This window comes from Homo sapiens, chromosome 8 (assembly GCF_000001405.40).
Source record: "Homo sapiens chromosome 8, GRCh38.p14 Primary Assembly".
NCBI classification, from domain to species: Eukaryota; Metazoa; Chordata; class Mammalia; order Primates; family Hominidae; genus Homo; species Homo sapiens.
The window spans coordinates 102,725,213-102,749,082 of record NC_000008.11 but is presented as its reverse complement, the minus strand read 5'-3'; the positions used below and the strand labels follow the sequence as shown (position 1 = coordinate 102,749,082).

Below are 23,870 nucleotides of genomic sequence, written 5' to 3'. Positions count from 1 at the left end.
TGAAACCCAAGTTCCAAATGGGATCTTCACACCCTTTTGCCCAAACCTGCTTCCCTCTGGGATCCCTGCTAGTAGCCTTACCATCCATTTGCCCAGGAGCCCAAGCCAGGAACCTGGGAGTCGTTACTTTTCTCTCCCTCAGCTCCTCTCCACCACCCAGTACCCCCTACAATCTCTATTGCCATCGCCTTGGTCCCAGCCACCACCGCCTGGCTCCTGCACTCCTGCAGCAGCTCCTGGCTGTCCCTCCTGCTTGTGCAGCCTCATCCTCCCCTCCATTCTTCACTCTGCAGCTAGATGTTGCTTCTAAAATGTTGATTCAATGACGTTTCCTTTGTAGAACACCCCAGTGGTTCCCCACTGATTTGCTCTGCAGTGTCCTCTCTTATTGGCCTGTATCGTGAATTCCTTGCAGGTCTTTTTTTTTTTTTTTTTTTTTTTGAGACGGAGTCTCACTCTGTCGCCCAAGCTGGAGTGCAGTGGCACGATCTTGGCTCACTGCAACCTCTGCCTCCTGGGTTCACGCCATTCTCCTGCCTCAGCCTCCCGAGTAGCTGGGACTACAGGCTCCCACCACCACACCCGGCTAATTTTTTTTTTTTTTTGAGACGGAGTCTCACTGTCGCCCAGGCTGGAGTGCAGTGGCGCGATCTCTGCTCACTGCAGGCTCCGCCCCCTCGGGTTCATGCCATTCTCCTGCCTCAGCCTCTGGAGCAGCTGGGACTACAGGCGCCCCCCACCTCGCCTGGCTAATTTTTTGTATTTTTAGTAGAGACGGGGTTTCACTGTGTTAACCAGGATGGTCTCAATCTCCTGACCTTGTGGTCCGCCCACCTCGGCCTCCCAAAGTGCTGGGATTACAGGCGTGAGCCACTGTGCCCAGCCTCCTTGCAGGTCTTTAAAGCAACGCCAGGCTCTCTCTAGTATCCTCCTTGCTGCACTCTGTGCTTTACCCCTAGGTACTGCCCATGTTTGCCTGCTGAAGCTCTAGGATTGAGCTCTCTGATGCTGCCTTCAGGAAGCCCTCTCTGGGCACCCATAAGTGGGCAGATCCCCTTCCTATGCACTCCTCCTGAACTCTCTGCTCCTGTGAATGTGGGGAACACATGAATTGCATGTTCCTGTGTCTGTCTCTTAACTTAAACAGGGAGCTCCTTAGGGCCTAGGGCTGGGTCTTATTAGCTGTTGTGTTTAGGGTTTAATGCTTAGAGGAAGTGCTTCACAAATGGTTGAATTAATTAATTAATGACTACCTTAATGCCTGGCTTCCCAAACTGTGCAGCCACCTGAGGGTGCTGTGGAATGAGGTTCGGGGATCTCTACTGTAACCCTTTACTGCTCCTCTTCACAGCCCGGGCCAGCCTTACATTAGGATTGGGTTTCACCTTGGTGGCGTCAGGACCCCCAGAGTCCTTGGTCAGGAGGGTGGGGGGCAGGTGCAGACCCAGGCAGCAGGAAAGGTGCGGCTCATGGAGCGGGCAGCAGGTAAAGAGCAGCCCTGGGAGTGCTGGGTGGAGGGAAACTGAGGTTCTTGGGCTGGGTGGGAGGAGCAGGCAAGCTCAGCTCAGACTCCCTTTGGGGCTCACAAAGCAGGGGCATCATTTCTCAAACACGGGACAAGGCAGAGCCTTGGCAGCAATGAAGATGTCCTGGAGAGCAGGCACAAGGCCAGCGCAGGCTCCTCCGCGAGGCTGATGGGGTCCTTGTAGTTCTTTGTCCAGGAGCCATCTGGGTTCCCAAGCCTGATTGGAGCAGACTCTGCCCTGGAGGTAAGGGCCTTGGTCACCAGCACTGTAGATTAGCACGTCAGGGAGCCAGCAGCACATTCCGAGTGGATCTGAAATCCACTTGCCTGCCTTCCCCCTGAGCCTTAGCCCATCTCTCAGGACTCAGCTGCCACACCACTTCCTGCTCTTCTTCACGCAGAGCTCCAGGATAGCAATTAGGGAGGCCATGAAGCAGGCACTGTGCAAGCACTCACCTTGGCTTCCCTCTGTCATACAGAGTATGTATGATCTCATTTCATCAAGACGTGGCAGGCAATGTCACAGGAACTGTGACTCTGCTCTGTGTGGGAGGCAATGTGGCCCATCTGCACCACACATCTGGTCTATAGTTGATCACACATCTGGACTGTGTTGGGTCTGTCTGGCCCACAGTGCACGCTGTTCCCACTGCCCAGTGCTGCCTTCTCTAGCTCTAACCTTTCCCTGAAATTAGAGACTCTCAATTAAATCTGGGGCTGTCCCTTTCCTTTCCTCCGACTCTTGGAGCTCCACAACCCCCCATCTTTGGCTTTTGCCAGGACAGAGCTCTTGTCCATCCTGTCCCGTGTCTGTTCTAAGCACTGGGCATGGGGAGCTGCACCCAGCATTGGAAACCTCACCCCATTTTCCTCTTCTTGCGCCCTCTCAGAAAAGGGTAAGGATGGACAGACTAGCCAGCCCCAGTCAAAGCCTTGGCTGAGGCCACTGGCTCTGGCTCTGTCATCATCTTATCGCTCATCATAGCCATGGTCCTGGCCCTGCTATACCAGAAGAGAGAGGTTTCCCTGGAGATTCCAGCCTTGCCCTTTTCTGAAAAGGCTACACATTTACCCAGAGCAGCAGGAGCCCTCTGCTGTGAGAACTCCCTAAAGCGAGAGCTGGGCTTCTTCTTTCCCAGGGAAGATAGAGGAAGCTGATGCTTAGCCCCAGGCCTCGTTATTAAGAGGCTTCTACTTTTCTTTTTTTTTTCTCTTTTTTGTTTTTTTTTTGAGACAGGGTCTTGCTCTTTTGCCCAGGCTGGAGTGCAGTAGTGCGATCTTGGCTCACTGAAACCCCCGCCTCCTGGGCTGAAGTGATCCTCCCGTCTCAGCCTCCCAAGCAGCTGGGACTACAGCCACACACAACCACACCCAGTTAATGTTTGCATTTTTTATAGAGACGGGGTTTTGCTGTGTTGCTCAGGTTGGTCTTGAACTCCGGAGCTCAAGTGATCCTCGTGCCTCAGCCTCCCAAAGTGCTGGGATTGCAGGTGTGCATCTCTGCACCTGGCCGGGTTTCAACTCTTGTTAGCTCGCTGGCTGTGTGACCTTGGGCAGGTGACTCAGTCTCTCTGAGTCTGAGTTTGTATAGTTCTAAAGATGGTAGAACTTAAGTCATGGGGCTGTGCGAGGGTTCAAAGAGGCTATCTATGGGAAGCACATGTATAGTCCTGGCAGTTAGTGGACGTTCAGTCCACGGCAGCTTTCGTGGTTAGAATTGTTACTGACTTCACTCCCCACTCTACTTCTTGAGATTTCCATGCTCCTGGCACAGGCCGAGTCAGCTCTCCCCTTGGCATCTCTCTCCTTTCCCTTTTTAAGGGCATTTCTGCTGCTCCCGGCTGCACAGTCAACTCCAGTTCAGACCCTCTTGGAGTCTTGAGGTGCTGCCAGCAATCACAGCCACAACCAACCCGAGGCCTGCAGTAACATTCCTGCTCACTGGAGTCAGGGATCTGCCCCGCCACGCGGTGCGTCTGGGCTGGGGAGTGAGGGGGCGGAGGGAGGGGAGCCACAGCTGCTCCTTTGTCAACCAGTCATGATGAGGGTGAGGCCAGGGCACAGGCCTGTCCAGACCAAGAACAGGAACCAGGTGGACTTTGCTGAGGCCCAGACAGGGTGGGGCATCGGGGAGGCCCACGTCTGCACGTTAGGAGGTGCATGGTGGAATGAAAAAGGGGGATGATCGGGCAGACTCACTTCTGATTTCCCAGGCTGCTGAGTCCAGAGGCCCTTAGCTGGGTTTCAGGTTGCTTTGAGGCCAGGCAATCAACAGACTCATACAATGGCACATTAACAATTGCTCAGTCACCATCAGGCTCTCTGTTAGGGTGCAGGATATGCTGCTATAACAAAAAGACCCCAAAGACAATAGTGTGAAAAAGGCAGGACCTTCATTCTCCCTCACATAACACCCTGGCTGCTCCAGGCCAGCAGGGTGGCTCTGCCTCATGCGGTTTTGGGGAATGCAGTTTTCCTCCACCCTGTGGTTCTGCCATCCCCAAAGGCAGATGTCCTCAACAGACCTGGCCAGGATTCAGGAGCTCTCTGACCCTTCATGGGGAAAAAATTACATCTTGATTTCCACCAAGTTCTACCTGAAAATTAGCATTTTCTTTCATTATGACAGCAGGCCAGAAACACAGGAGTATTGGTGGTACCTGTGATCTTATTTCTTGTTTCCAACAGAAATCACAGATACTTTATTATCACATTTAGTTGGTAAAGATATTGTGAGATATCCTTTATGCTTTGAAAAGGACTTTGACTTTACCTTTGACTATACCAAGACCTTGAAAGCAGAGTGTTTATTAGATCCATTGCTAGATGGTTCTTTAATGCATTAATAAGGAAGTATATATTTTATTAGACTGTAATTCTTTACTATTTTGATATTTCAATATATTTATTTTTCTTTGTAATCTTATTATTTTATTCCACGCATTTAAGAACAGTCTTCTGAGAAGCATCCATGGTCTTCATCAGACAGCCAAGTGGTCCAAGGCACAAAAATGGCAAGGAGCCCTGCCCCGTGCGTTGCTTCATTGGTTGAACCTGGGCCACCGCGTGTCACCCTTCATGGAAGAGGGAAAGGTGCAGGTGTGGGACTAACAAACTCCTTGCAGGCCAGGGATGTGGAACCTGTACATTTCACTTCTGTCACCTTCCACTGCCAGAACTCAGCCACAAGGCTATACTCAGTTGCAAGGGAAGCTGGGAAGTATGGTCTTCACCTGGGCAGGAATGTGCTCAGCAAGACCCTATTATGGGGCCGGGCAAGCTGGCTTACACCTGTAATCCCAGCACTTTGGGAGGCCGAGGTGGGCAGATCAGCTGAGGTCAGGAGTTTAAGACCAGCCTGGCCAACACGGCGAAACCCTTTCTCTACTAAAAATACAAAAATTAGCTGGGTGTGGCGGTGGGCACCTGTAACCCCAGCTACTCAGGAGGCTGGGAAGGGAGAGTCATTTGAACCCAGGAGGCAGAGGTTGCAGTGAGCCGAGATTACACCACTGCACTCCAGCTTGGGAGACAGAGTGAGACTCTGTCTCAAAAAAGAAAAAAAAAAAGACCCTATTGTTACGGATGAAGGGGAGAAAGGATATCGGGCTCCAACTAGCAGTGTGGCTACAATCTCCAACACTTCCACTTCCCCACCAGGACCAGGGATCCTTCGAGCCCACCCTCTTTTTCCTGTCCTTCTCCCGCCTCATGGCTTCCCGTCTCACCCAGCTTAGCCCTGGTGTAAGAAACCTTCTCTTGGCCTTCCACCCATGCCACTCCATGGAAGTTCTACTGACAAGCTCACCAAAGCTCTTCTTGTGGTCCATCCAAATATCACTTCTCCCATCAGCAACACCGGACCCAGGTGAACACCTCTTCCTCCTTGAAGCACTGGCTTTTCCTGGCTTCCAGGACACCAGGTGCTCCTAGTTGCTCCTTCTCAGCTTCATCTCCCTGATCTCTAAGCACTGACAAGCCCCAGAGGTCAGATCTGGGACCTCTTCTCTGTGCACAGTGCCTTGGTGGTGATCTCGTTCAGTCTCAGGCCTCGAATTCCTATGTGAATGAGTTCCCATTTTATTTCTCTAGCCTGGGCCTCTCTCCTGAAGTCCAGCCTAATGTATCCAGTTGCATGTTTGACTACAAGAAACATCTCAAGCTTAACATATCCAAACTCAAAATCCTGATCTCGCTCCCAGGAGCTCCTCCTCCCGTAGGCATTCCCATCGTTCCAGCTGCTTAGGCCAGGAATCTCTGAGCCATCCTTACTCCATTCTTTCACATCTAACATCCCACCATCTTGGGCTTCAAAGCCATCCAGGAATGAACTGCTTCTCCGTAGCCACCAGACTTGTCTATGTGGCAATGATCTCCCACCTGGATTCTTGAAATACTCCCTAACTGGTATCCCTGACTCCTTCTTTGTTCTCAACTTGGCAGATGGAGGGTTCCTTTCAGCCATCCTCCTGTGGCTTGGCTCCTGTCTCTCAGAGGAAGGTGCAGATTCTCCACAGTGGCCTTCAGAGCCTGTGTGGCCTGTCCCCTGTCACTTGGCTGACCCTGGCCTCACTCACAATAGGCCTTCTTGCTGCTCCTCCCACTCATCAGGCATGGTCCCACCTCCTGCCTGGAAGGATCTTCCCCAGATGGCCACACGGCTCCCTCCACTTCCTTCAGATCTCATATTCCCCATGAGGCTCTCCCACACACCCCACTTCACCCAGCAGACCCGGTCCTCCTTTCCTGCTTTGTTTTCCCCACAGTACTGCCACCATCTGTCAGGCTGCTATCTTATTATTTATTGTGTTTTGGTCTGTTTCCCCTCAGTAGTGTGCAGGCTGCTTGGGGGCAGGGATATTTGTCTGTTTTGTTCATTTCTGGTTCCTAGTACTTAGAATGGTACCCAAGAAACATTTGTTGAATGTATGAATTGACTATTCTGTTCTGCAGTCTTATTCAGGTCTCATAGGAAGGCTTCTTTTTCTCTTTCCCCTCTGCACCCTGGAAACTTTCTCCAAAATATTAGGCCAAGGCTGGGAGCTCATCAGCAGGCGCATGAAACAGGTGGAGACCAAGGGTACGAAAAGGTGAAGGTGGAGTGTGTACGTTCACCCAATAGGCATTTATTGAGCACCTTCTCTGGGGCACCCAGATGCAAAGATAAAGGCCTGTCCCAGGGCCTGAGAGAAACTGACATGCAGTAGAGTGGCATGGGCAAGCCAATAACTGCAGTGCCATGCTTTCACATGAGAAGCCCTGCAATGGAGGCACCAGCCAGGTAACAGGCACTGCCTGTCAGGGTCAGCGGGGAACACCAGGTAGTGCCGAGGTCAAGAGCACAATTTGGGCTGGTGCAGTGGCTCATGCCTGTCATCCTAGCACTTTGGGAGTCCAAGGCAAGCAAATTGCTTTAGCCCAGGAGTTTAAGACCAGCCTGGGCAATATGGTGAAACACCGTCTCTACTAAAAATACACAAAATTAGCCAGGTGTGGTGGTATGTGCCTGTAGTCTCAGCTACTCAGGAGGCTAAGATGGGAGAATCACCCGAGCCCAGGAGTTTGAGGCTGCAGTGAGCTGTGATCATGCCACTGCACTCCAGACTGGGTGACGGGAGTGAGACCTTGTCTCAGAATAACAAAAAAGCACAATTTGGGGCAAGTTACTTCTTATGTCTGAGTCTCACTCTTCACATCTATAAAATGGGGCAATAGTTACCAACTTCACTGGGCCATGGTGGAGACTGCTTGAGACCAGAGATGGATTTACCAACGAAGCTGATGAAGCTTAAGCGTCAAGGCCCATCACTTGCTCAGGTGCCTTCCAAGGCCCTAGCTATGTGCTCACAAGGTCATTTTTTTTTTTTGAGACAGGATCTTGCTCTGTTGCCCAGGCTGGAGTGCGGTGATGTGATCACAGCTCACTGTAACCTCCAACTTCTAGACTCAAGCAGACCTCTGGCCTCAGCCTCCTGAATAACTGGAACTACAGGTTCAGCCACCATGCCCAGCTAAAGGAGGTCATTTTTGTTTTAGAAACCCGAGAAATACAATCAGATGTCGTGTGTGTGTGTATGTGTGTGTGTGTGTGTGTGTATGTTTTAAGAAGACCTTCTAAATTGTATAAGTTTCAGGCCTCACAAAACCTGAATCTGCCCCTGCATGGACATATGTGAAGTGCTCAGTACAGATCCTGACATAAAGAAATCATTTAATAGTGCAGTGGCATGAAAAACGGGCTTCACAGAGGAGGTGTCATTTGAGCTGGGTCTTTTTGGACAAGTAGAAGTTCACCAGATTCCAAATGGAGTACTAGGAGCATAAATATCTCCCTGATTTCGCAGGGATGTTTCAATGAGCTTCATTACAGACTGCAAGGGATGAAAGGATGTTTCTGGTAGGGTAATTCTACCATTTGTCCAGCACTTGTGATGTGCTGCTCTAAACGCTTCTCCTGTAATAATTTATTAGATCGAAGTATCAGCTGAAGGTCTCACAGCTACACAAGGGCATAGCAGGGATCTGCCTCTTGTGTGTGGCTTTGGAAGTTTCATCTGTGGACAATGGCTCTTGCTTTTCCTCCATGCACCCAGGATGGATAGTTCCCTGGTGGCCCCACTTTTCCAGGGCCCTAATTCATTGTCATGCACCAGCCGGGGAGACTGGGCTCCCTAGCCCGACACAGCCTGACCCAACCCGACCTGAGTCCCAGGCACGGCTGATCCACACACAGGGAAGGAGCCAGCACCGCCTTCACCCACGGAGCCACAGGGTGTTCTTTTTTTAAATAAAGGCTCTGATGTGACAGCATGGTGGCAGGATTCTTCTCTGGTCTCATTTCCCAGCTCCCATAACCACCCAGCCCCCAGAGAACCTGGCCTTGAGCAGCTCAGAGCACCAGTCTGCAACATCTGAAAATGAGAATGAAATGCCCAGGGGCTGAGCTGAGCACAGCATGTGCAAAATGAAAGCAGCAATGTCCCCCAGGCCTGTGGCTTCTCCCACTGCCCCTCCTAAATCTGCAGGACACCCAGATCTCAGTGCTGCCAGAACAACCTGAGTAACTGTCCAAACCTCCTTCCAAAGTGGTAATGGTTTGAATAAGTCACAATTGCTTTGGGTTTTATTTAACAGATGTTGTCCATTATGCTACGTATTGGGACAAACATGTTTTCCCTCATTTCCTACACCCTAACCCCATAGGGACCCAGCTGAGTGAAGCAGAAAACAAAAAGAAACTCGAAATAACCAGAACTCCTTGCATTTGGACAGCATCCTAGAATGTACCATGGACCCATTAAGCCTATTTTGTAGATGAGACCTTGCAGGGGTTTAGAGAGATTCGTGACTTCTCAAGCCCAGTGAACTGATAAGTGGCAGAGCTAAGACTGAAACTCCGCTTCCGGCCTGGATCCAGCTCTCTCCTGTGGAGCCGTGCACGTGGAGACAGTCTCAGAGAAGGAAGGCAGGGCCCATGAGGTGGCACAGTCAGACAATTGCTAGGTTTCATGTGGCAATTTGCTGTAAACTGGGGCTATTGCCTAGTCCATTTTTAGACTGGAGCCGTGCGTTCCGTGTGATCCAACAGGCCTCTCATGGAAGACTGTGGGCCCGGAGGGGATGCCTGGGCCCCATAAAGGGTCCCATTCAGCAGGGATCCAGAGCCTGATGTCTCACGGCTGTAGCTGTGTTATATCTGCCTCTACCTCCAAATGCCCTTTAAAACGTGAATATTTTTGCTAACATTTAAAACTTAGTAGGATTTACATAAGAATGGGTATTTCTGGCATCTCTTAACAATGTGAGGATTGGCTGGTACCAGGCTTGCCGTCCCTGGAGCTGAGCAGTGCTGTTCCCTCTAGAAGGAGCATTTGCTGTCCAGGGCACTGAGCCTGTGGCCATGCCCTCATCTGACCTCTGTGATGTCACCCGTCTGGCCCCTATAGGCATTGGGGCTTTTGACTGTTGCTACAGAACAGAAGTTCTTAACATTTTGAAGGTCGGGGGTCCAAGAACTTGGATGGGTAAAAATTACATCTTTATTTTCACTGACCTCTACCTAAAACTGAGCATTTCCTTCCATTATGAGTGTAGGCAGCAACCACGGTCGTAATGGGATCTGTGACTGTCACCAGAAGAAATCACCAACAGTTTCGTATCACGTGAGAGTTTTGCAGGTGCCTCCAAATGCCGTCCATGCTCATCAACACTGTGACATCAGCTGCGGTTCTTTAATGCATGTGATAAAGAAGCACGTATATTAGAAGTTTGGGTTTTAAAATGTATTTTGAGAAGTGTTTTTCCATGCATTTGGCTCCTTTGGTAATCCTAGGTATTTTATTTTATGGCTTTATTCTAAGAAAAGGCCCATAGCTTCATGAGCCTGTCAGAGGGATCCAAGCACAGCACTGGACTCTTCAAAATACAGTTGTCAGCATCCTTGGGGAAGGGGAGGCAGTTCTAGAACCTTTGGGAGAAGCGAGGCAGGAGACGAGCTGCACCCCTCCATACAGACCCTCCACGGTGGCTTCACACTGGACTCCAGACCCAGGGCTTGGGGCCCTCTGAGGTCTCCTAGAAAGGGGGCTTTCTAGGAAAGGGGTGCAGGGCGAAAGCTGTGCTGTGGATCTGCATTCAGAGCCTGAGTCCCCGCCTCCAGCCTCCACGGTCATTCTCCCTTCTCCAAACCAACCCCAGCGTGAATACGGAGGGAGAAAGTTTAGCTCCCAGCCCGAGCCACGGTGCCGGTGCCGCCTCCCCATCTCTCACTGACTGAAGCGCTGAGCGCTGACTCATCATCGGACTCTCCTGCCCAGCCTGGTGCACGCCCACGACGTGCCCTCCTTCTTGCTTCTCCACTGTTTCCTCCCCGGCTCTTCCCGGGCGCCTGCAAACCCACGCGCGTCTCCCCATGTCCTGGCTGCCCCCTCCCAGCAACCATCCTCTTCTTTCCCTGCCAAATCCGGAAATGTGTGGTCTCGTTGTGTTTCCTCCTGAATCCTTGAAGCACCCACTCAGCCTCGTTTCGTCCTCCACCTCCCATTGCAGTTTACTGAAACCGCCCTGCTGAGGGTCAGCAGGGTTGATCTTCCCAGCAGGACAGGTGGCCCTGGGCCCCCCACCTCCCCCTCCCGCTCCCGACCCACAGCCCTGGTGCTCCCACAGCCCAGCCACCTCTTCCTGGATGGAGGGATGGATGGACCGACCTACTCCCTCCCCTGGTTTCCATGACACTGCACTTTCCCACATCTCCAGGTTTGTGACAGCTCATTTCCTCCTCACTGGCATCGCCTTCTCCCAGCTTCTCACCGTGGGTGTGCCCAAGGCACTGCCCTTCGCGTTCTTTTCCTGTGTGTGTGCCCACCACCTCCCCTGGAGGGCTTATCCTCCTGGCGGCCTCATATCACCTCCACCACTGCTGCCTCTCCAGCCTCTGACACCCACTATCCCAGTCCCACATTGCCAGGGTTTCCAGAACCTCCCTCCCAAACCCCCACCTCATGAAATGTGTCTTAAATCACAGGTTTTTAGACTGTTGGGCCCTGGAGGTATTAAAGGGTAGGTCGGCCAGGCAACCCTAAACCTGGTGGGATCCTGCAGGGGAGACTTAAATATGTGCCCCCCCGAGCCTGAGCTGCTGCAGATCTGTGAGAGGCAGTCTAGTGTATGGCTAAGAGGAGAGGACTCTGCAAGCTCACTGCCCACGTTCAAATCCTACCTCTGCTACCTGCTGCTGTGACCTTAGGCAAGTTCATTGATTTGTTTGTCCATTTATGTAGCTAATGTTAATTGAGCCCCTACTCTGCCAGACTCTACCCTACACTGAAAATACAAATGGGAAAACCAAGTGGCTTGGGGAGTTTAATTAGTCATGGCATTACCCAAACAAATGTTAAATTGTGACTATGAAAGCAATGAGAGGTAGAAGATGCTGTGAGAGCCCATCACGAGACAGCCTTATCAGGGAGGTCAGGGACAGGTTTCTTGAGGACATGGCCTTTAAGCTCAAAACTGAAGAATGGGAGGAGTCACCACGTGTGACAGGCTGAATCATGTCTCTCAAAGATGTCTGCATCCTAATCCCCAGAATCTATGAATGTGCTACCTTGCATGGCAAAGAAGATGTGATGAAGTTAAAGATCTTGAGATGGGAGATTATCTTGGATTAGCTGGGTGGACCCAATGTACCACAAGGGTCCTTATGAGAAGGAGTTAGAAGGGTCAGAGTAGAAAGAGATGGAAGCTGAAGCTGGAGTGGTGTCATTGCTGGAAGGGGGCCATAACCAAGGAAGCCTCTAGTAGCTAGAAAAGGCAAAGAAATGGATTCTCCCCTAGAACTTCCAGAAACAACACAGCCCTGCTGACCCATTTTGGCCTTTTGTCCTCCAGAACAGTAAGATAGTAAATTTGTGTTGCTTTAAGCCACTGAGTTTGCAGTAACTTGTTACAGCAGCGATAAGGAATTAGCACACTGGGAGAAGAATGGAGAAGCATGTGAGGCAGGTGACAAGGCTGGGGTGACAGATGGGCATTGGAGATCGTGTGTGTGTGTGTGTGTGTGTGTGTGTGTGTGTGTGTGTGTTTGTGAAGAGGGGAGTGATGAGGCTGGACAGGTGGGCACGGGCCAGACCATGGGGAGCAACTTTATTTCTAATTTATCCACAGTGGTAAATCTGTTACCAAAATGCCAGGGGTTCAATCTAGGTTCTGCAGCTTGCCACACAGAAAGCCAATCACTGAGACAATGGGTAGTTCCAGGGAAGAAGGCTTTAATCGGGTGTTGCAGCTGAGCAGATGGGAGATCAGCCTCAAACCCATCTCCCTGACCAACTAAAATTAGGGGTTTATATAGCAGGGAAGATATGTAACCATGTGTGGGGAAACAGGAATTAGGGAGGGGTAAGGAAGAGGAGTTGGTCAACAGGAAGCTGGTGGTGGGTTAGGGAATCATGAGGGGTGAGGGGTCTGGCATATCATTGTCCAGATGAGGTGATCTGGTGAATTTCAGCTCTTTGGTACTGTCTGGGAGGCCTGATGGTTGGTTTCCTGAGAAAAGAACTCAGATAAGACAAATGTAACTTTCTCAAGCGTCAAGACTGGATCAATTTCTATACTTATTCAAAGAAACTAGAAATATTAGTTCTGTGAGACAATTGGGCCCATTTCAAGACAATCAACAAGTTTCAAGCAGTTATTTATTTACATTATTAATCCCTCTAAGCCTCAGATTCTTCATTGATAAAATGAAGACTTTGTAAAGTTGTTGGGAAGATTAAATGGGATAACGTAACGACTGTAGCTCTTAGTTAGTGCTCATTTAATACCATTATTATGATCCAGTGGCTTTCCAGCTGGACTCCACATAGCCCTAGAAATTCTGAGTCTCTGGGCTGCTATGAAGTGGAGGGAGACGGGGAACAGTGGGGCAGTTCTCTCCTCAATCAGAGCAGCTGAGTGTGTACTTTTTGGCACATTGGACTTGACATTTGCTTAAGATCATGTTTGTTTGTCTGTTCTCAAGACAAAGTCTTGCTCTGTTGCCCAGGCTGGAGTGCAGTTGCATGGGCATAGCTCAATGCAGACTTGAACTCCTGGGCTCAAGTGATCCTCCTGCCTCAGCCTCCCTAATAGCTATGACTGCCAGTGCATGCCATCATGACTGGCTAATTTGATTTCTTTAGAGGTGTGTTTCCAGGGCTGGTCACGAACTCCTGGGCTCAAGCAATCCTCTTTCCTTGGCCTCACAAAGCACTGGGATTACAGGAGTGAGCCACTATGCCTGGCCTTTAAGATCACGTTTGAATAAAAGATTCCTCAGCTACAATGTAGTTAGAAAACCAAATCTCTTGCCTACCCCTGCTTTTTCCTGTAAGGAAACCCTGGCCTAGAGGTGCCACCATGACATTGGAACCAGCCTGGAGAACTCAGGCTCCAAACCAACAGTGCCTCCCTCCTTTATGGCCCAGTGGCCTAGGCCTGGGGTCAGAGTGGGGGCTTCATGGCATGGAGTCCATTTTCCTTCTTGTCACTCTGTATGATTTGTGTGATACTTTTTCTTCCATTTCTGTTTCGTGTCAGTCTCCCTTGTGGGACACTCTAAGGTCCACAGGGGCAGGAATCACATGTTTTCTTATCCACAGTGTCTCCAGGGCCTGCCACTGTGGCTGGTACACGATAATAACAGGAAACACTTGGAAGATGCTCACTGTGTCCCAGGCTCTGTTCCACATCCTGCACACACATTCACACATTTAATATGGAACCCTAACTCAACATGTGTGCAGAATTAAAGGCTTCACGTCACTTCTGCATCTGGGTTTCTTCACCTCTTTGAACCACAGCGTCGTCATCTGTAAAATGGGGAATAGCAACACCTGCAGTGGTGATGGTGAGGGTGAAATGACATGATGATGTCTGCAAGCCTCCTGGCTTGGGGTCTGGCCACAGCAGGCGTTCAGGAAAGGACAGCCATTGTTATTACTTCATTGCACTGGCTGCCAGATCGCTCTGATTCCAGTGCCCAGTCTTGATGGGGTCACTGCCATAATCCCTGGACTGGGATGAATTCCTTCCCTCCATCAGCCAAGTCGCTTCCTACGAGCTTTCTTTCTTCCACTCACTCCTCCTCCTCTTCTTTCTCCCTTGGGCCTAGACCAGCCCCCCTGCCCCTCTGGGCTCCAGCTGCCTTCATTCTAATCAACCATGCAGGCCACTGCCTGTGCTTCCGCCTGCACCCACTTCCATTGCCTCCTTCCCTCCCAGGGCCCCAGGGAAACTCCTACAGCCTCTATCATCAAATGTGATCCTTGGGCTCGTACTGAGGGGGTCCTGAGCACCAGTGTAAATCCACTCCCTGCTCAACTACTCCCAGGCTGCCACTGACACCCCCAGCACCTGGCCCAAAATTTTAAAAATAAGCATTTATCACTTTTACCAAAAAAAAAAAAATGCTTTTAGTTGTGGTAGATGTTGTTAAAGTACAAAATTAACAACACAAGCTATAGAAGTGAGAAAAAGAAAAGATGAACTCTAGGGTGTCTAGGGCAAACTAGAAAAGCTTTCAACAAGAATAATGCTATAATTTTTGGTTCCTGAAAAAATTCATCATAGAAATAGCCAAGAAGATATTCTAAAACCAATGCCATAGTAACTAGAAATTTCCACAATTATTCACAAGAGTAAAATTATTTTCTAGGCCCTAGAAAATATACATATCACATTGATTACATAAGGGCCTGCAGTGAACTTTTAAGTATTTGTATTGCATATTAAAACACAATTTTATAACATACCAAAGCATAGTCAATACTACAAGGTTGGCTACAATAAACAATACACATCCACGCTGGGCGCGGTGGCTCATGCCTGTAACCCTAGCACTTTGGGAGGCCCAGGTGGGTGGATTGCTAGAGTCCAGGAGTTCAAGATCAGCCTGGGGAGCATGGCAAAACCCCGCCTCTACAAAAAATATGGAAATTAGCCAGGTGTGGCATGTACTTGTAGTCCCAGCTACCAGGGAGGCCGAGGCAGAAGAATCGCTTGGCTCCAGGAGGTTGAGGCTGCAGTGAGCTGTGGCGGCGCCGCTGCATTCCAGCCTGGGTGAGAGTGAGACCCTGTTTCAAACAACAACAAACAAAACACATGTAATTGACAATTGTTTTGTTCTTCTTCCACTTTAGAAGTGGCGTAATGCTTGATGTAATACCTCTCTTTTCTGTGAGCAAGGGGGGATGTCTGAAGTCACTCCTTGGAACTCAGTGCTGAGCTAATCGAGGACGAGTACGATTTAAATGTCTGGGTGCTGATGCTAACGATGCCCTTCTTTTAACTGAAAATTGTTTTATTAGGTTGGTGCAAAAGTAATTGTGGGTTTTGCCATTATTTTCAATGGCAAATACCGCAATTACTTTTGCACCAGTGTAATAAGTATCCAGAAGGGCTGGCCTAGCATTCTCCTTCCTCCATACCTGTGTGCATACAGAGCTCAGGGGCCAGGTTAACACGGGTTCTAGGAAGGCTTCTGCAGGCTCTGAAGACAGCCCTCCCACCGTTCCCTCCCTGTGGACCACCAGGCACTGTTACTGACAGCCATCAGAGCTCAGAACCATGCTGCTGCTCCTGCTGCTGCTGCTGCTGCTTGGCTGTTTTCATCTGGGCCAGTGGAATGTAAGGGAGAGATGGCAATTGAGGTGCAAAAGCTCATCAAACACGATCTGTGGAGGCACAGAATTAAAGTATGTCGAGAGTGGAAAGGATCTTTGCTATGAGCTGCTCCAACCTCTAAGAGCCGCCACCACCACCACCACCACTGACAAGACAGAGCACACGCCCTGTGCCTGGAATTATGACAGAGATGGTTTAATTTCATGTAATTGTCAGAACTGTGTGAGGTAAGTAAAATCATCCCCATTTTACAGATGAGAAGGCAGAGGCTCAGTGAGTCTAAGAACTTAACAAGTATATTAGTTTGCTAGACTGCCATAAGGAAGTGCCACAGACTGGGTGGCTTAGAACATCAGAAATGTTCTGGAGGCTGGAAGTCCAAGACTGAGGTGTCAGCAGGGTTGGTTCTTGGGGTCGTGAGACAGAATCTGTCCCATGCCTCTCCCCTAGCTTCTGGCAGTTTGCTGCAATCTTTAGCCCGTCTTAGCATGTAGACGTATCACACCATCCTCCCCTCATCTTCATATGGTGTTCTCCTGGAGTGTATGTCTCCATGTGCACATTTCCCCTTTTTATAAGGACACCAGTCATATTGGATTAGGGGCCATTTGCACCTTTATTCTTTTCTCCTTTTTTTTTTTTTTTTTTGAGACGGAGTGTCGCTCTGTCACCAGGCTGAAGTACAGTGGCGTGATCTCAGCTCACTGCAACCTCCGCCTCTGGGGTTCAAGCGATTCTCCTGCCTCAGCCTCTGTAGTAGCTGGGACTACAGGCACACACCACCACGCCCAGCTAATTTTTGTATTTTTAGTAGAGACGGGGTTTCACCATGTTGGCCCAGGATGGTCTTGATCTCTTGACCTCGTGATCCTCCTGCCTCGGCCTCCCAAAGTGCTGGGACTACAGGCATGAGCTACCACACCTGGCCTACTTTTTTAAATTCAGAAAGCACTGTTGCTACTTGTCTAAATTAGGTTTTGTCTTGGTTCTCTTCCAGGAGCTGGTCAGCTCTGACCTGGAGTGTGTCTACCCTGACCGTGTGACACCGGGATCAAGACCCTCTCCTGGGGTCTTGAGGACGCCACATGTGGGTGAGGCAGCCATTGAGCAAGGCAGACCCTGCTGAGGGTCTTGTGGTGGGCATGGCCATGTGCCACTCAGATCCCCCTTCAAGGCGGGCCTGGATGCCGCAGCTGTGGGGAGTGCCTCACCTGCAAGTGCCTCACCCCACCCCAGACCAGGCCAACCTTCACAGACTGATTGAGGCTGGTACATAAAGGCCTGGGGTTTCAGCCTATGTGGGACCATTCTGAGGGGCTGTTTTAGCCCTAGAGGTCACCGCGGAGTTGGCCGAGGTTGTCCTTGGGCCTAAATCCCAGCTTGATTTCTCAGTCCACCCCTGCCTCCTTCTCCTCCCTTCCTCAGGCGTTGCTCTAAAGAGCGCTTGCTCCTAAGCCTCCTGCACATGGAACTCCACCATGGAATCTGCTTCCCAGGAACTCACCCTGGGACCAGCCCCTCTGAGACTCAAGTCAACATTTGGTCCTAGGGCTGCAAAGAGGAGGTGCTAAGAGGCCAAAGGCTACTTCCACCTGGAGAACGGGCCCCGCGTGCCAGCTCCCCCAAGGCCTGGCCAGGATGCTCTGCTCGGAGGCCTGTCCTGACTTCCTCTGCTCATTGCCACCTGAAATTACCTAACCAACACCTTTCTTCCTCCCACCCTTCCACAAATACTTATTGAGCATCTGCTAGGTGCCAGTTACTGTTCTGCACAATGGCAATTACAGCCATGAAAGAAATAAAACAGAAACATTCCTGTTCTCATGAAGCTTCCATTCTAGCAGGGGAGCAGACAAATATCAAATCAATAATCAAAATAATGTCACTTGGTGATAGTACTGTGGGGAGGAAAAAGCAGGGAGTGGAGAGGGTTAGGGAGCAGGATGGAGGAGACACAGTGAACAGGAAAGGGCTCACTGAAAAGGTGACTTTCGAGAAAAACCTGAAGGAGGTGAGGGACTGGGTCACAAAGCTATTTTGGGAAAAAGCCTTCAAACAGCAGGAACAGCAAATGCAAAGACCCTGAGGCCAGAGCTTGCTGTGTGTGTTCAAGGAAGAGCAAGGCTGCTCCAGTTGCAGTCGAGGGAGTAAGCAGTAAGAAGTGACCTCAGGGACTGTGGGAGGGATCATGGGACTGCAGGTTGCGCAGGCCCCCTAGGCCACTGTAGGGACTTTGGCTTGGACTCAGAATGCGATGAGTCACCAGAGGGCTCTGAGCACAGGAGAAATGAACATTTTAAAGAATCACTATAGGCTGGGAGTGGAGGCTCATGTCTGTAATCCCACCACTTTGGGAGGCGGAGGTGGGAGGATCACTTAAGTCCAGGAGTTCAAGACCAGCCTGGGCAATGTGGTGAAACCCTGTCTCTACCGAAACACAGAAACACAGACACACACACACACACAGACACAGACACAGACACACACACACACACACAGACACAGACACAGACACACACACACACACACACACACACAAATTAGCTGGGCATGGTGGTGCACGTCTGTGGTCCCAGCTACTCAAGAGGCTAAGGTGGGAGGATGGCTTGAGCCCAGGGGACAGAGGCTGCAGTAAGCCAAGATCACACCACTGCACTCCAGCCTGGTGACAAAGTGAGATCCTGTCTAATAATAATAATAATAATCATAATCATAATCATAATCATAATCATAATCATAATCACTATGGCTGCTATGTGGAGAATGACCGAAGGGGTAAGGGCAGGAACGGGAGGCCCCTTAGACTGTTCCAGTGAGTCCAGGTGGGAGGTGGTTGTGGCTCGGGTGAGGGCTGGGGTCAGATTCTGGGGATATTTTGAAGGTGGAGCTAATGGGATTTGCTGTTGATCCTTCCAGGGGAGACAGCTGTGTAGCCGGCAGCGTTGTGCACATGCGTGCAGCCGGCAGCATTTATCAATGAGGCAAACATCGTGCAGTGGCCTTGGAGCCACACACACCTGGAGCCACACACACCTAGGTCTGGATCTCAACTCCACGCATCCTAGTTGCTCATCTCCAGCAGGCTACGTCTAACTCTCCCAGCCTCCATTTCTTATAAACTGGGGATAACAATTTTTATGTTATGAGATTACTGTGAAAATTAAGTGAGATAATGTAAAAGAAGGTCTGGCACAAAGTTAATTATGATGAGTTTAAATAATGTGGTTTCCTGTGAGTCCTGAATATACAGCAGAGATCAGTCGGGGGAGGGGCGAATGAGCAAAGGATCCCTGCAGGGGAGGCTGGGATCCTGCAGGAGGCACTTGCCAGAGCTGGGGGCAGTCAAGACGACCCAGGAGGGCAGTGGTGGGGAGACGGTGAGAGTCCACGGCCCACTTGCCTTCCCAAGTGAGGATGGGGAATTCCAAAGCCCAGGAAGACGCGGGTGGGGCGACCTTTAGAGAAAAGACAGTCAGAAGGGAATTCCTTGGATAAAGGCGGAGATGTGGAAAATGGGAACGCCACCAAAATCTAGAGAGGATGAGGTCATCCCAGCTGAAGCCAATCAAAACTTTCCCTGGAGCAGGCAAAAAAAATAAATAAATAAATGGAAGGGTTTTAGTAGGCCAGAAACTGGAGATTTCTAGCAGCTGCCAAGAAAGGAAGCGAGCCCTGGGCCCAGAGCCCATAAGCCCTGGGAGGCCCCACCCTGGCTAGAAAAAGAGACTGGTGGGTGCTGGGGCGCAGCCCAGAAGACAAAAGGGGAGGGGAAGCCATCTGAGTTGTCTGGGGGTGGTGATGGGGTGCGCTCCTGGAAAAGCCATTAGATCCTCGTCGGAGGCGGCCAGCAGAGCTCTGTGTCCCACTGCTCTGTAGGCATTTTTCCTTAAGAAAGACAAGAAACAAGATTAGTATTCCTTCAATCAGAACTGTTCTACTCATTTATACTTAGGATGCTTTCCCAATAAACCAGGGTCTAGCCAGGAGTTTAAACCGAGGGTCTGCCCTTTTTACCTACCTAGAGAGAGTGCTGGGATTGAATAAATGTGGGTTCAAATCCTGCTTGATTGTGGGCAGGGGGCTTGACCCCGGAGTGCTGTGACATGCAGATCACACTTGATTGTGGGCAGGGGGCTTGACCCCAGAGTGCTGTGACATGGAGATCACACTTGATTGTGGGCAAGGGGCTTGACCCCTGAATGCTGTGACATGGAGATCGCACTTGATTGTGGGCAGGGGGCTTGACCCCTGAATGCTGTGACATGGAGATCGCACTTGATTGTGGGCAGGGGGCTTGACCTCAGAGTGCTGTGACATGGAGATCGCACTCACTTGCATGTGTTTGGGGGTGGCTGGCTTCTCCCCTCCACCCCCAGGGTGTTAGAGAATTGAAGGAGACATAACGACCGTGAGAGTGGACACTTGGGCACACAGTCCATTCTTTCCCGTGTCAGGAAAGTCACAGGCGCTGGCTTCCAGGGGTAGGAGTGGAGGGTCTGGAATAGTGCCCCTGGTCCCAGGGCAGGAGTGTGACCCTTCTTCAGTGTCCTGCAGTTCAGACTCCCTCCCCCTGTGGTTCCACCATCTGTTCCCACTTCTCCAAGGTCCCAAATAAATGGCATAGAGCCCTCAGGAGGGGAGGCATCCTTTTCCCAGACTCCCAGACCCCATGTGGTCCAGGGTGCTGACGTCGGCCAGAAGCAGCCGTGGCGGAGCTTTTCTGGTAACCTCTTCCTAGAAGCATCCACCTCCGGGAAGGACAACAGTGGGACTGGGGCCAAGTCCAGCAGCTGCTCCACGCCTGCCTGGCCTGGGAGGTTTCCTGTGTGTCTACTCAGCCTGTCCAGATCCAGGGCAGTCGGGGCAGGCGATGGCTGGCTTGCCACTCCCCTCCCCTCCTTGTCACCACCCTCTCCAGGAAGCCAAACCACTTTAACTGCTGACCCCCAGCACCACGGATGCCCTGAGCCTGCTTCTCCAGGCAAGAAGGGAATGGGAGTGCCTCCCCTCCCCGCCCCACTCACCTGCTCTAACAGTGCTTCCTCTATGTATCACAGGCTTCAAAGCCATCTGAGTCTTGTTTCTAAAAAATTTAGCAGAGGACAGAAGCTCCCTCCCCTGGTCCCCTCTCAGAGTTTTTGAGGCCAACGTGTCATAGAATTTTAGAGCAGACACAGGGATCTCCCAACCCAGCCTAGCACCTCTTAATGAGTGGTTTTGGGGGCCAGGAACTGTGCTCAGTGCTTCACAGGCACTAATTCCAACAACTGCATGGGGAGACAGTATTATTTAGCTTTATTTTCCAGATGTGACATGGACATAAGCAACTCACCTAAAGTCACACAGCTACTAGGTGCAGAGCCTGTGCAGGAAGTCAGGTCTTGTGACTTCAGAACCCACCTCTTGGCCACCATCTTCCACTTCTCAAAGCACATTCCATGGGTCATTCATTCCTCAAGGTCTGTAGCAACGAAACAGACCTGTGGTCAAGCATGCTCGGGAAGAACTCTGTCTTCATCCTCACCCTTGAAGAGTCTTGGAGCATACTGACAGTTTAAAAACTCTGCGAAGTCCTGCAGTGAGTCAATGTTTCATTTTCTTTAACCCAGTGTTTCCTAACTTGTGTTTCCTGAACTTATTTTCACTTGGACCCCCTGCCCCCAACCCATCCTTTTAAAATAATATACTGTGAATATACCAGAATGTGCTTTGGGAAACACCACGCAAGATTGCATTACTGTCTTGTTCTGCTGGTGTCTGACACATATTAGAACTCGATAAACATCGGTTCCATAAAACTAACAACATCGTCTGCATTTTAGGTGATTCTAACCCATTCTCCAGTGTTCCTTTTCTTAAGGAGTTCCTTAGTGGTGGAAGATACCCCAGATCCTGCAGATAACCCAACCCTGATGTCACCTCCCCACTGGAGTGAGTCTTCTTTTCTATGCTGGTCACATGGGAAGAAAATTCCATCTAAGCACTTCCTCAGGGCACCCCTATTTCAGACTCCCAGAGGTTTCTATTCCAAGGACAAAGGGAAGTTTCCAAGACAATTCCATTCAGTATGGCAGCAGGAATATGGGTGTGGAAGAGGCTGTGAAAACCTCCGTACCTGTTCACCTTCTCCCAACCTGCCAAGCCTTCCCAGCAGGACAGCGCCAGACCCCTGAGCATCCCTCACCTCTGCCAGCACTCACCCCTACTTTTACCTTTCTTGGAGCCCTGCCCTATCATCCCTTCACTGTCCTCCTTTGATTTTGTATAACCCATCTAGCAGCCCCTCTTACTCCCGACCTCCCAGCGTGACTTGAACTCCATGCTAGATTGGATTCAGAGCTCCTCCACCCTGGCCTCCACCTCAGGGTCATCACATCATCATGGGGACTGTGAGCACAGAGCAGAGCCAGGCCCCCGGAGACTCAGGTTCCACTGTTGTGGAGTGGGGTTCAGCCCTCCTGTGTTTTCAAATGCAACTTGGGTTGAGAAGCACTGATGCTCCCCATCACCCACTGCCCTGGTTCCCAGCTATGCAGGCTCCAGCAGGCCTCTCCTCCCCACTCCTGGCTCCTGAGCACCACTGGAGAGGTCCTCGCACCTCACAGGACCAGCACCACTGTGAATCCAGTCTTCCCTCTCAGCACCACTGTGGCTGCCAGCGCGTGTACCACACTTGGTCTCATCGCCTCTGCCACTCACTGCTCTGTGCCTTCCTCTCTCTCCCCGCACTCCCTTCCTACCTGGGCCTAATGCTTGGCACCTAGTCTCCTACTTCTTGAAAAAAAAAACACATCAAGGCCATTGGGATCACATGATCTCCATCAAATTCCTGCTCCCTGCTGATTCTCCTCCCCCGACCCTCCCCCAACCCCTACTGCTTTCCTGTTAATTTTAGAAGCAGGTCAAAATCCAGGCCAAATCCCCCCAGCCGATGGAGTCAGGCTGCCAGGGTTCAAATCCCATTTCCATCACTTTCTGGCTATGTGATCTTGGGCAGATCTCTCTGGTTTTTTGGTTTGTTTTTGTTTTTCTGAGACAGAATTTTGCCCTTGTCACCCAGGCTGGAGTGCAATGGTGAGATCTTGGCTCACTGCAACCTCCGCCTCCCGGATTCAAGCGATTCTTCTGCCTCAGCCTCCCAAGTAGCTGGGATTACAGGTGCCTGCCACCATGCCCAGCTGATTTTTGTATTTTTAGTAGAGACGGAGTTTCACCATGTTGGCCAGGCTGGTCTCGAACTCCTGATCTCAGGTGACCCACCCGCCTCGGCCTCCCAAAGTGCTGGGATTACAGGTACGAGCCACTGTGCCCAGCCAGATCTCTGTTTCTCTCAGTTTCCTCATCAGTGAAATGGGATAATGCTTGCCTTTATCACATGGAGCTGACGGATTAAATGGAGTAGCCATGTGGAGAGTTTGGCATAAACCTGAAACACAGCAAATGCCAACAAGGTTTGTTACTGCTGTGCCTGGTTCTGTCATGATGAAACCTCTCCTCATGTGGAATGTGCTTCTGGCACATTCCTCCAGCCAATAAAAACACACGGTCCCTCCTGTCCTCATAACCTCTTGAATCTACGATCCCAATTTCTCTTGTTCCTTCTCCTCCAAACTTCTCAAAAGTGTCTTTTATCTGAGAGCTCCTTTCTTTATCTCCCTGTCTCTCCTCAGTTCACTGAGATCTGGCTCCCGGCCCTACCGTAGTTCAGCTTTGTCAGGGCCACCAAGGTCCTTGCCAAGATCAAGAGGTGCACGCGGACCCTTCTCCGTTCCTGGCTTTCTGCCTGCTGCCTTTGTTGATCTTTTCCTCCTTTTTGAAATGGCGATGGCTTGGCTTCAGTGTTCCGCATCATTTGCCTGGCTTTCCCTGTGCTCCCCCCACCTTTCCTTCTCTGTCTCCTGACAGGGCTTCCCCAGGACTGCCACTGCTTCCCTGAGGTTGTCCTTAGCTCATGGGTCTCCACTGCCCTCACTCTTTTTCAGGTGGTCTTAGCAGGTCTCATTGTTTCCACTTGAGGATTGATACCTGTTATGGACTGAACTGCACCCCTCCCAAATTCATATGTTGAAGCTCTAACCCCCAATGTGATTGTATTTGGAGACAGGGCCTTTAAGGAGGTAATTAAGGTTAAATGAGATCACAAGATAGGGCCCTAATCCAGTAAGTCTGGTATTCTTATAAG

General features: G+C 50.6%; 5 annotated features.

The window, feature by feature from the left end:
* Positions 233-1,190: an enhancer, noted in NCBI's record as "H3K4me1 hESC enhancer chr8:103760121-103761078 (GRCh37/hg19 assembly coordinates)". NCBI's record gives its function as "activates a minimal SCP1, AML or CMV promoter by ChIP-STARR-seq in naive H9 embryonic stem cells {active_cell/tissue: H9 hESC(naive)}" and the evidence as "EXISTENCE:reporter gene assay evidence [ECO:0000049][PMID:30033119]".
* Positions 3,042-3,553: an enhancer, noted in NCBI's record as "H3K4me1 hESC enhancer chr8:103757758-103758269 (GRCh37/hg19 assembly coordinates)". NCBI's record gives its function as "activates a minimal SCP1, AML or CMV promoter by ChIP-STARR-seq in primed H9 embryonic stem cells {active_cell/tissue: H9 hESC(primed)}" and the evidence as "EXISTENCE:reporter gene assay evidence [ECO:0000049][PMID:30033119]".
* Positions 3,554-4,066: an enhancer, noted in NCBI's record as "H3K4me1 hESC enhancer chr8:103757245-103757757 (GRCh37/hg19 assembly coordinates)". NCBI's record gives its function as "activates a minimal SCP1, AML or CMV promoter by ChIP-STARR-seq in primed H9 embryonic stem cells {active_cell/tissue: H9 hESC(primed)}" and the evidence as "EXISTENCE:reporter gene assay evidence [ECO:0000049][PMID:30033119]".
* Positions 10,473-10,522: an enhancer, noted in NCBI's record as "active region_27771". NCBI's record gives its function as "activates an Ori minimal core promoter by ATAC-STARR-seq in GM12878 lymphoblastoid cells {active_cell/tissue: GM12878}" and the evidence as "EXISTENCE:reporter gene assay evidence [ECO:0000049][PMID:35858748]".
* Positions 18,121-18,833: an enhancer, noted in NCBI's record as "H3K4me1 hESC enhancer chr8:103742478-103743190 (GRCh37/hg19 assembly coordinates)". NCBI's record gives its function as "activates a minimal SCP1, AML or CMV promoter by ChIP-STARR-seq in naive H9 embryonic stem cells {active_cell/tissue: H9 hESC(naive)}" and the evidence as "EXISTENCE:reporter gene assay evidence [ECO:0000049][PMID:30033119]".